The following is a 13,074-nucleotide window of genomic DNA, read 5'->3' on the forward strand; positions in this document are numbered from 1 at the left end:
TTCACTCTTATAAACAGTACTGTAATAAACATCATTTTACATACATCTTTAAACACTTATTCAATTGTTGACTTGGAATAATAATAATTGAATATATACTATGTGCCAGGCAGTTGGTTGACTTCATTACATATATTATCTCATTTAATCTTCATGATCCAAGAAGTGAGATCATTATGATCTCAATTTTCAAACGAAGAAATAGGAACATAGAGAAATTAAGTAATTTGCTTTAAGTCATATAGCAGGGAAATACAGAGCTGGAACTCAAGCTCAGATTTGTGTGATGCTGGATTCCATGCACTGCTGGCAATGTTGGTTAGGCATCAGAGGGTGTAAGCGTTTTTAAGATGCAAAATTACTAAACTGCCGGCCAGAAAAATTTTATTATACCTGTATAGTATATACACATAATAGTGTGTTTATATCTTCACATCATGCCCGTGCCAACCCTGAGGTTAGCTGCTGCTGATTCTTAAAAATAAAATTTAGGCTGGGCATGGTGGCTCACACTTGCATTCCCAACACTTTGGGAAGCCGAGGCAGGTGGATTGCCTGAGGTCAGGAGTTTGAAACCAGCCTGGCCAACGTGGTGACACCCCATCTCTACTATAAATACAAAAATTAGCTGGGTGTGGTGGCGGGCGCCTGTAATCCAGATACTCAGGAGGCTGAGGCAGGAGAATCATCGCTTGAACTTGGGAGGCAGAGGTTGCAGTGAGACAAGATCGCACCATTGCACTCCAGCCTGGGCAACAAGAGCGAAACTCCATCTCAAAAAAATAAAAATAAGGTAAAATAAAATTTAAAAATTATCAGCTAGGCACAGTGGCACATGCGTATAATCCCGATGCTTTCAGAGGTCGAGACAGGAGAATCACTTGAGGCCAGGAGTTCGAGACCAATCTGGGCAACAAAGCCCAGACTCTTTTTTTGTCTCTAAAAAAAAAAAAAAGTATTTTTAGCCATGCATGATGGCATGCACCTGTAGTCCCAGCTACTTGGGAGACTCAGGCAGGAAGATCACTTGAGCCCAGGAGTTAAAGGTTACAGTGAGCTATGATCACGCCACTGCACTCCAGCCTGTGTGACAGAGCAAGACTATGTCTCAATAAGTAAATAAATAAAAATTATCAATGTGTGTGGAGAAGGTCAGTTAAAAAGCAGTTTACTTCAACCCAGATGCAGAGAAAGAAGGAAGAAACAGATTAATAGTGTGAAGCTTAAAGAAGAGACCAATGAATAAATGAGAAAGAAATGGAGGCAAGAGTCAGCAAGGTAGATGTTATCTAGTTTCAAAGCAGCCTTCCAGTTCCAGATTCCAGGGTTTTATGAAGCAATGATCTTCTTACATTAAGTCAGTGACAGACACGCCTGCCCTGTCAATGCCATATAATAATCATTTTTCTTTTGTGTAAGCTACTTTGAATGGGTTTGTTTCCTGCAGCCAGAATGTTGAGTTATGGGAAAAAGTTATTCTCTCTCACAAGTTTGTAGGATATGCCTTTTTGTGTCATGTGGAAGATCCAATACAGATTTGCATATTTGTTTCAGGACTTGTGTAAAACTAAAAAGTTAAAAATGTAAGGAAAAACTCAAACATGCTTAACTCTGTATAGTGAGACAGAAGTGACCTGTTTACCTCATTATTTCCAGTATTATCTATATTTCTGTTTTCATGATCAAAAAATATTAAAATGTTCTACCAATTTTAAAGAGCCATCAATTTGATGCCACTGGAATTATTTAAATAATAAAGTGTCCAGTTGATTATATTCAACACAGCCCTGAGTTCCATTCCTCTGACAAAACCATACAGTATTACCTTCCCCAAATAAATGATGCATCCTTCAGCACATATGTTCTTTCACTAGGATTATCATTAGAGCTTCTGAGCCTAAGTGGAACCTGTTACTTATAAATCACCTTTTAGTACCCTTTGGTCTTGTTCGAAGCAGTGTAACATACCAATTAAGAGTATGGGTTTCAGTGCCAGACTACCTTGTTTAAATTCCAGTTTTGCCACATATTCACTTGTATGATCTGAGACAAATCATTTAGCCTCTTTCTGCCTCAGCTTTTTCAGCTGTAAAATGGAGGTATTAATAGCTCCTTCATACCATTGTTGTGATGATTAGATGATTAATATTTGTAAAATGCTTAGAGGTGATCTGGCAGAGGGTAAGCACTCAATGGATGTTACCTGCTGTTGCTGTTATTACTGTTACATTTTGGGGAGATAAAGTAAAACAGACTTTGGGTATTCATTATCACCACCTCTGTCATCACCCTTACTTCCAAATAAGTTGTCTTAAAACCCTTTACCATAATTCAAAGGCAGAATTATATTATTATTCCAAGTGGAAATATACTGAGGCAGTGATAAAATGTACTATGAAGATAGTCCGATGTCAGATGACTTTGCAGTCTGTGAGAAGAAAAATCTTTAGTAGTTCCATTTCCATTTGTGTTCACTTAAAATTTCTCCTTTGGGGCCCCCCAGAGTCAGTACCACTATAATTAAAAGATGAAGGCCAGGCGTGGTGGCTCACGCCTGTAATATCAGCACTTTGGGAGGCTGAGGTGTATGGATCACCTGAGGTCAGGAGTTCGAGACCAGCCTGGCCAACATGGTGAAACCCCATCTCTACTAAAAAAAAATACAAAAATTAGCCGGGCGTGGTGGTGGGCGCCTGTAATCCCAGCTGTTCGGGAGGCTGAGGCAGGAGAATCCTTTGAACCAGGGAGGTGGAGGTTGCAGTGAGCTGAGATTGTGCCACTGCACTCCAGCCTGGGCAACAGAGCGAGACTCCATCTCAAAAAAATAAAGAAGACTTGCAAAGAGTCTTCAGCATTCATGGTTGCTACAGCTGGGCTATTTGGGGCTTCGTTTCTTGCATTTTTTAATAGTGTTCACCATGCTGCCCCTGTAGTTGTGGTTGTTCTGACACATTGATGTGGGCTTGAATGTTCCCATACATCTACACCTCTTTTTATTCTCAGATGATAACTACCTTTCAGATATGTTCTCAGATGATAACCACCTTTCAGATCTCTGAGTTCTGTCCTTGAGGAGTCCATTTTTAACCCTGTGGACGATGAGGGTAATTTTTTCCTTTCTCTTCGCATGACATTCCAGTGAATGACACAAACAGTGCTAGATCCATGCAGAATCTCATTGTTTGCTTTTCTTGCTGTTTCTTCTCAATAAGAGAGGAAATAGTGCCAAGGGCTCCTGTTTGCTTCTTTGTTTTGTTTTGTTTTGTTTCATTTCATAAATCAGGTGGCCAGTACTAAGGAGGGAATTCCGAAGGAATAGCTACATTTTTGAATAGGCAATTATATCATTTGTAAGAAAGTGTCATAGGGTAAAATAACCCCAGTGGAATTAGTTAGAATCAAGGAAATATCTTATACTTTAATTCAGTGTATTCCAAGACTTATTATATAGAAAATTTATTTGAGGAGATATTGATAGGTATTCCATTTTTAAAAGGGTTCTATAGCCAACTAAGTTTGGAAAACACTCTATCCTTCTCTTGAAAAGTCAAAACTCATATTAGCATATTAAAGATTCTGAGAAAATCTAGGGTAAAGAAACCCACTTCACTTTTGTGTTTTTTAATTGTATTTTAATATAATATTTGATAAAATATATGTAGCATGTAAGTTAGAAAGCATAATATAATAAATACGCTTGAGCCTTTCACCTAACCCAAGGACTAGAAAATTGCCAGTAACATAGATGTATCCATGTGTTCCTCTCCAATTACATCCCTTATCTCCCTACAGCAGGTAAGTGCTAACCTAGATTTTGTATTTAATTCCCTTGCTTTGGTGGAAGAAGATTGTGTTTTTAGCACTTACCTATGTATTTCTAAATAACACATTGTTTAGTTTTGCTTGTTTTTGAGCTTTATAAAAATAGTATCATACTTTTTTCATTAAACTTTGCTTCTAAGATTCATCTGTATTGTTGCAGGTAACCTCAATCATTTTTCAGTGCTGTGTAACATTCCATTATGTGAACATACCACAGTTTACTTTTCCATTCACCTGTCCATAGACGTGAGGTTTTTTGTTATATTTTTTATTATTACTATTGCTCCTCTCAAGGAGAAACAAGAAGAAAATGTGAGCTAAGAATATTGACAGAATATTATGATTATATTGTTTGGGAGCATTAAGGAGTATATTTATTGAGTGGCTGCCTTTACTATTCAAGGCAGGAACTAAAACGCAAACATAAATAAAACATCCCTGTCTTCAATGATCTTATGGTCCAGTGGAGGAGTCAAACAAATTCTGTATTTTTCATATTAGGATATGATTAGTCTCAAAGACTAATGGCACAAAATAAACATGACACATCTTTTGAAGTGCCCAGTTTCTTATAATCAGGGGGATGTGCAGGGGTAGAATTAAATAATTTAACTGATAAGTACCTTAAAATATGTTTGTGTCAAAATTTAAAAGGTCCTTTTATGAAAAATAATATAAAATTATTATGCATTTTTATTTTTTATTTTATTTATTTATTTTTTATGACAGAGTCTCACACTTGTCACCCAGGCTGGAGTGCAATGGCGTGATCTCGGCTCACTACAACCTCTGCCTCCCAGGTTCAAGTGATTCTCTAGCCTTAGCCTCCCCAATAGCTGGGATTACAGGTGCCTACCACCACACCTGGCTAATTTTTGTATTTGTTTTAGTAGAGACAGGGTTTCACCAAGTTGGCCAGGCTGGTCGCGAACTCCTGACCTCACGTGATCCACCCTCCTCGGCCTCCCAAAGTGCTGGGATAACAGGCATGAGTCACTGGGCCTGGCCAGTTATGCATTTTTAAAACAAAATACTGAAAGTCAAAGAAAGATGTAAGCTGATATACCAATCTGGACTACACCCTTAGGACTCATAATTCATTTGCTTCTTTTTGTCCTCTGTCGCCCAGGCTAGAGTGCAGTGGTGTGATCTCAGCTCACTGCAACCTCCGCCTCCTAGGTTCAAGCAATTCTGCCTCACCCCCCTGGGTAGCTGGGATTACAGGCACATGTCATCCCACCTGGCTAATTTTTGTATTTTTAGTAGAAATGGGGTTTCATCATGTTGGCCAGGCTGGTTTTGAACTCCTGACCTCAGGTGATCTGCCTGCCTCAGCCTCCCAAAGTGCTGGGATTACAGGCATGAACCACCACGCCTAGCCCTGCTTCTTCCTAGGTATAAAAATTTGAGGCCGGGTGCAGTGGTTCATGCCTGTAATCCCAGCACCTTGGGAGGCCAAGGCGGGTGGATCACCTGAGGTCAGGTGTTCAAGACCAGCTTGACCAACACGGCAAAACCCCATCTCTACTAAAAATACAAAAATTAGCCAGGCATGGTGGTGCATGCCTGTAATCCCAGCTACTAGCAGGGCTGAGGCAGGAGGATTGCTTGAACCTGGGAGGCAGGGATTGCAGTGAGCCGAGATCGTCCCACTGCACTCCAGCTTGGGCAACAGAGTGAGACTCTGTCTACAAAAAAAAAAAAAAAAATTTGAGGCCGGGTGCGGTGGTTCACACCTGTAATCTCGGCACTTTGGGAGGCCGAGGTGGGTGGATCACCTGAGGTCAGGAGTTCAAGACCAGCCTGGCCAACATGGTGAAACCCCGTCTCTACTAAAAAATACAAAAATTAGCTGGGCATGGTGGTGGACTCCTGTAATCCCAGCTATTGAGGAGGCTAAGGCAAGAGAATTGCTTGAACTCAGGAGGTGGAGGTTGCAGCGAGCCAAGATCGCACCACTGCACTCCAGCCTGGACAACGAGAGCGAAACTCCATCTCAAACAAACAAACAAAAAAAATTGAAAAGTGTTCATGTACAGAAGTTAAACAAAATGTATCCTAAATATAAATAATTAATTCTGACAGAGTAACTAGGAAATGCCTCACAGAGGAGCTGGTTTTTGAACTAGACCATAAAGGATAAGTAGGATTTCCATAGGAAGAAAGAGCAGTCAAGGCTGAGGAAAAGCATGATTAAGGACAGGAGCAAGATTTAAAAAAAAAAAAAAAAAAAGGTGTACCACATTTGAGAAATAATGAGAAGTTCTTCATAAGTAAAGTCTATCTCCAGTGAGGGGCAGGATGATCTCTGTGTGTGAGATGCCTGGTATTTCCAGATGTAGATTTGTTTGTTTGTTTTGAGACAGGGTCTCACCCTATCACCCAGGCTGGAGTGCAGTGGTGCCATCTCGGCTCACTGCAGCCTCCACCTCCCAGGTTCAAGCGATTCTCCAGCCTGAGCCTCCCAAATAGCTGGGACCACAGGTGCATGCTACCACACCCAGCTAATTTTTGTATTTTTTTGTAGAGACGGGGATTCACCATGTTTCCCAGGCTGGTCTCGAGCTCCTGAACTCAAAGTGATCCACCTGCCTTGGCCTCCCAAAGTGCAGGGATTACAGGTGTGAGCCACCACACCCAGCCTCAGATGTAGATGTTGAATGCCAACCTATTCCCTTGCTCCTGATAAAACTGCTGTTGGATATTTAGAAAAAGTTTAGCACACTAGGTGACATTTAAGCTGGGGTCTTCTTTTAAAAATCTGTATCTGAATCATGTTCATTTGGCAAACAATTCATCCACTTTATACTAAGGATGAAGAAAGTAATACTCAAGATGTGCACTAACTAGTAAGACAAACCATTAGAAGAGAATTAGGAGGAAGAAAACCCGCTCACTGCCTTCTGTCCTGTCATAGGGGATGAATGCTCCTAGCTGGGGCTAGCTCTTCCACTTGGGCACCAGAGCCCATCTACCTCACCTACACCGGGATATCTCTCCAAACTCCCCTTTCTTTCCCAAATCATTTTTTCCCACCTGTTGTATTATTCATAGAAGCATAGAAATATCCTGCTATGCTGGGCACAGTGGCTCACGCCTGTAATCCTAGCACTTTTGGAGGCTGAGGTGGGCAGATTGCCTGAGCTCAGCAGTTTGAGACCAGCCTGGGCAACACAGTGAAACCTCATCTCTACTAAAATATAAAAAATTAGCCAGGCATGGCGGCGTATTTCTGTAGTCCCAGCTACTCAGGAGGCTGAGGCAGGAGAATTGCTTGAACCCGGGAGGTGGAGGTTGCAGTGAGCCGAGATTGTGCCACTGCACTCCAGCCTAGGCGACAGAGTGAGACTCCGTCTCCAAAAAAAAAAAAAAAAAAAACAGTTTGAAATATCCTGCTATGTTCTGCATCTTTAAAAGCCCTCTCTTAACCCCCTTACTCTTTCTAGGCTCCATCTCATTTCTGTGTTCTCTTTCATGGGAAAATTCTCCAAGAGTTGTTTACACTCACTGTCTCTAATTCCTTCCCTCACATATTCTCTTAAATCCACATATTCTCCTCAACTACTGCATTCAGGCCTTCACTCCCATCACTCTAAAATCGCTGTTGTCAGGGTCCCTAGGGACCTCCACATAGCTAAACATAGAGTCAACTTTCAGTCCTCATTTTGCTTGACCTATCAGCAGCATCTGACGCAGTTCCCTTACTTATTTTTTAAAAAAAAATAGAGATGAGGTATTGCTATGTTGCGCAGGCTGGTCGTTGTTATCACTTAGCTTCCAGGAACTATACTGTCTTGGTCGTCCTACCTCACTGGCCATTCCTTCTCTGTCTCATTTGCTGTTTCTCCTATTTTTGGAATCCCTGGGACTTGGCCACCTCATTCAGTCTCACGGCTTTAAGTTGTATGTCTCGACTACTAACTCCCAGATTTATATTTCTAGTCCTGAGTTTCATTATTGCTATTTGGAGGCAGATAATCTGTTGTTGTGGAGGACTGTCCTTTGCATTATAGATGTTCAGCAACATTCCTGGCCTATACCCATGAGAAACCAGCAGCACTCCACCAGTTATGACGAGGAAAAACATCTCCAGACTCTGCCAAATGTCCCCTGAGACTAAAATCACACTCCTCACCCCATTGAGAACCAGTGTTTCTTGTCCGAACTTCTCCCCCAAACTCTGGACTTGTATATCCACTGTCTTTTTGACATCTCTACTTGAATGTCTAATAAATATTCATACTTAACGTGATCAAAACCAAACTTCTGATCTTTGTTGCTCAATATAATCCTCCCTCCGACTTCCCACCTCAGTGGCACATCCATTCCTTTAGTTGCTTAGGCAAAAAAAAACTTGGCATTTTCTTGAATCTCCTCTTTATCTCACACCTACATCCTGACTTATCAATAAGTCCTGAGAGCTTTACCTTCAAAATACACCCAGAATCTAATGCCCTTTCACCACTACTGCTCTGGTCCATGCCACCGTCACTTCCCACTGGGATTACTGCAGCTGCTTTACTCTTGTCCCCCAACACCCCCTTCTCAATATAGTAGTAGGGTGATCTTGTGAAAATGTGTCATTCAGGGTATGTCACATCTTTTTGCAGAACCCTCCAGATGTCTCTCATCTTACCCAAAGTAAAAACCAAAATTCTTACAATGACATGCCAGGCCTTATATGGTCTCTCCTTATAGCCCGCTCTACCCATTCCTTACCTCTCCAATCTCACCTCTTACTATCCAACACCTTATTCACTTCACTCTAGCCACACTAACCTTCTTTCTGTTCCTTAAACATACAGAGCCTTGATCCCTTTGCACTTGCTCTTTCCCAGATACATGCTCTGTTGCCTCATTCAGGTCTTGACTCAAATGTCAGTTTCTCAGGGAGGCCTTCCTTGGGTACTAGTTTTTGTTTTTGTTTTGGGGGGATGTTTTTTATGGTAGCATTTTATTCCTCTTCAAGAAAAGCTATTACCTAACATTGATGAACTCTCTTTTTTTTGAGACAGAGTCTCACTCTGTCACCCATGCTGGGGTGCAATGGGATGATCATAGCTCACTGCAGTCTCTAAATCCTGGGCTCATGCTCAAGTGATCTTTCCACCTCAGCTTCCTGAGGAGCTGGGACTACAGGTGTGCACCACAATGCTTGGCTAATTTTTAAAATTTTTTGTAGAGGGTCTTGCTATGTTGTCCAGGCTGGTCTTGAACTCCTGGACTCAAGCAATAGGATTAAAAATATCCTCCTGTTTCGGCCTACCAGAGTTCTGGGATTATAGGCGTGAGCCACCATGGGCAGCCAGTCACTAGTTTTATTTTATTTTTGTTGTTGTTGTTGTTGTTGTTTTGAGATGGAGTCTTGCTTTGGTGCCCAGCCTGGAGTGCTGTGGTGCAATCTCAGCTCACTGTAACCTCCGCCTCCCAGGTTCAAACGATTCTTGTGCCTCAGCCTCCCAAGTAGCTGAGATTACAGGCATGCACCACCACGCCTGGCTAATTTTTGTATTTTTAGTAGAGACAGGGTTTCACCATGTTGGTCAAGCTGATCTGAAACTCGTGACCTCAAGTGACCTCAAGTGATCCTCCCGCCTTGGCCTCCCAAAGTGCTGGGATTACAGGCGTGAGCCACCGCACCCAGCCCAGTCACTAGTTTTAAAATCTCACACCACTACCATCTCCAATACTCCTTTTTTAAACCTGCTTTATCTTTTCCCATAGTATTTCTTCATCTAACATATTACAAAGAGGCAGTATAGCATTATAGTTAAGAAGACAAACTGAAGCCAGATTGCCTGGGATTATATCCCAATTCCATCACTTCTGGTGTGTGTGTGTGTGTGTGTGTGTGTGTGTGTGTGTGTGTGTATTTAAAGTGGAATGGTTTCTGTCCATTAGAGCAGTACTTTGCATATAGTAATATGTGTACACCATTATTATTGTATTATTATTATTAACTACTAATTAATTTTATTTTCCTTCTCTCCCATTGGAATATAAATTCCATGAGAGCAGAGGGGTTTTTTTTTACTTTCTTCATTGCTGTATTCACAGCTTCTAGAACAGTGCCTAGCACATAGTAGACACTCAGTAAATATTTGTTGATCAAATTATGTTATTTCTGGAGTGATGAGGATAAGGAGGGTCAAGGAAGACAAGGTATATGTTTAGAACTTTTACAAAGAGAATGTACTCATGTATCCTTGTGCCCCTAAAAGCTTCATAAGCTTGCATGGAAAATGGACATACAGACAAATAAATTACAACACAGTATATTTACAAGATATGGAAGAATGAGTACGTAACTCTAAGGGGAAAGCAATGCAGTTGAGGAAAGCTTCCTAGAGGAGTAATAATGTGAGAGTTGGGTTTTTAAAGATGCATAGTTCCACCAAACAAAGTGTGAGATGGATGGGACAGCCTTTGAATAGCAGGTGCAAAAGCAAAGAAGTATGAAACATAGCAGTGGCTCTGAAAACTGCAAGCCGTGGAAGTTGAGAGGTGAGGAGCATTTTCAGTGTTTTAAGCTATTAATAATTTCATCTTATCCTTCTGCCTTACCCACTCCCATACTCCTAACTTCTCCAAGTAAGTGTTTGGCTGTAATTAGGAGCTTATTACTCCATTAAGACAAATATCTTGGGGTTTTTCTCATTATTTTCCTGAAAGTCTTTTTCTATTTTTCTGCTCCCCACAAGTTCTATTTTTTTAATTATTATAACACTATTCAGGTTCTAGATTCCCCTTGGTGTCTTTGGTATAAGAAATTCACATGTAATTTTTACCTGTGGAGTATAGTGAAAAAGGAGGAAGACATATCCTTAAATTATATACACATACACACACATAGTTTTTGTTACAGTATGATAGCTTTGTTTAGGAATAGAAACACAGTTGTTCAGCTGAATTATTTTAGTAATTAATATTTTTAATCCTATAAACATTGGTCTCTAGTCCCTTACCAGTGATGTAAGTGGAGAAGCTTGCTTTTCAGTGTGTGACTCAAGACTTCTCAAGGTTGACTTTTTAAAATCAGGGTTGGGGTTCTGCTTTTTTCCACCCACCTTCCTTCTATACATGGAGTCAGGAAAACACCCTTGATGACAGCACAAACTAAAAAAAGCAGTAGCATTAATCCACTCTGTTAGTTTCTGGCACTGCCTCTGTTTATACTCATATTGGATTGTGATTGTGTATCTGTCTCTGAGAGTCCCTTAAGGTAGGAATCATAACTAAGGTGTACATTTGTACACCTAGTTCAACACCTAGTTCATAATGGATGCTCATTAAACATTTGTTGAATTGGATTGAATTGAACTGAATTGAACTGGACTATGGCACCAACGGAGAAGGGGATTTTTGAGTTTGCTTTTAAGTGAGATTGATTTAAAATGAATTTAGAAAGAAAAATTATTCTTTTTGTTTTGTTTTTAAACATAGTCTAAATTTGGGGTACAGCTAGCAATATGTTCATTCGCCATAATTTTTTAAGCATTCTGAGCAATGACTCATTAGAGTCCCCAAATAGTTTTTTTTTAAGTCATAGTGGCCCTAGGAAACAAAATTAGGCTGGTAAATATAAATAGTAAGTGTGTTCTCATTATAGTCAGGAATGTGGGGTCTTGTTGATATACAGAGGAGGATCTTTATTTCTTCCCTTTGTAGCAGAGTTGGAAATGAACCAAAGATCCCCTGATAAAATTCCTATAGGGCTTCCCAGCACATTTATTTCATTCTTTCTAGAAGTCATCAAGACTTATTGTGTTATTGTTCAAAAAAAAATCAGTGCTACCTCATTTCCTAACACTTGTTTTCTGACCTCCAATTGTGTCTAGTCCAACTGGCCAAAAAGCCAGGCCAAAGATGTCTGTATTTCCATAGAGGAACAAATGAACTTAGCTTCTACTCCTTTCCCTCTACTTTGCAATTTTTTCTTTTGCAAAGGAGTTTGGAATTTAAATTCTCCAAGCCCAGAATCTTTCAATGCAAGATGGTAATAAAACTGCAAAACAATGGTAATAACTGGTCATTCCTCCAGTCCTCTGTCTTTTAAATATCTGTCTGCTCTGAGAGAGAGTCCTGAGCATCCAAATAACTTGTTGTTGTTGCTGTTGTTGTTGTTGAGACAGGGTTTCACTCCTGTCGCCCAGGTTGGAGTGCAATGGCACAATCTTGGCTCACTGCAACCTCTGCCTCCAGGCTCAAGCAATTCTTCTGCCTTAGCCTCCCAAGTAGCTGGGACTACAGGCACCTGTCTAATTTTTGTATTTTTTATAGAGATGGGGTTTCACTATGTTCCCCTGCCTGGTTTCGAACTCCTGGGCTCAAGCGATCCACCCGCCTCAGCCTCCCAAAGTGCTGGGATTACAGCGTAAGCCACTGCACCCGTCCATCCAAATAACTTTTATATTATAAAGAAGGCTGTCTTGCCAATGGGTAGCTATTTTATTCATTTACTCAGCATAACTTTATTGGATACCTCTGTGTTAAGCCCTGGAGATCTAAGGTGAGTAAGACTTCCCCCTACCTCCCAAGAAGCTCACAGTCTGTCTTGGCAACAATTATACAGTGCTAAGATAGGAGTGGGATAAAGTAATAACAGTAATTAGTTCAGCATGGAGGGGTCTGGAAGGGCTTTACAGAAAAAGTGACTTTTATGATTATGTATTTATGTATGTATGTATGAATGAGACCATGCCTGGCCAGAAAAGTGACTTTTAATCCTTAGTCTTGAAGAATAAGGTTCTTGCCAGGCGCAGTGGCTCACGCTTGTAATCCCAGCACTTTGGGAGGCTGAAGCAGGCAGATCACTTGAGGCCAGGAATTTGAGACCAGCCTGGCCAACATGGTGAAACCCGTCTCTACTAAAACTACAAAAATTAGCCAGCATGGTAGTATATGCCTGTAATCCCACCTAATCGGGAGGCTGAGGGAGGAGAATCGTTTGAACCTGGGAGGCAGAAGTTGCAGTGAGCTGAGATTGTGCCATTGCACTCCAGCCTGGGCAACAGAGCAAGACTCCGTCTCAAAAAAAAAAAAAGAAGATTTCAGCAGAGAAAGAATAGTCAAACATAGGACATAGTAAGAATAACTACTTGAGGTAGGAAAGCTCATGACGTGTTTAGGAACAGTGAGTAGTTGGGCATGGATGGCATAGAGGCTGCACTCTGAGAGATGGAACAGACAAGTGGGAAGCAGTATTGCAAGATGCTGAAAGGCACAGAATCTAGAGCCTGGATCTGAATCCCA

At 40.9% G+C, this 13,074-nt stretch overlaps 1 protein-coding gene across 5 annotated transcripts in view; it reads left to right on the forward strand.

The window, feature by feature from the left end:
- The window catches only part of VPS45 (vacuolar protein sorting 45 homolog), a 77,948-nt gene that overhangs the window by 63,354 nt on the left and 1,520 nt on the right, over nucleotides 1-13,074 (forward strand). Inside the window, exon 13 of one of the 5 annotated variants that reach the window (NM_001279353.2) lies at nucleotides 12,103-12,196. The exons of the other annotated variants lie outside the window; for them this stretch is intronic. Within the exon in view, the coding sequence (NP_001266282.1) occupies nucleotides 12,103-12,196 (94 nt within the window). The remainder of the gene's footprint in view (nucleotides 1-12,102; nucleotides 12,197-13,074) is intronic. 5 annotated transcript variants of the gene reach the window in all.

This window comes from Homo sapiens, chromosome 1 (genome assembly GCF_000001405.40).
Source record: "Homo sapiens chromosome 1, GRCh38.p14 Primary Assembly".
Classification (NCBI taxonomy): domain Eukaryota; kingdom Metazoa; phylum Chordata; class Mammalia; order Primates; family Hominidae; genus Homo; species Homo sapiens.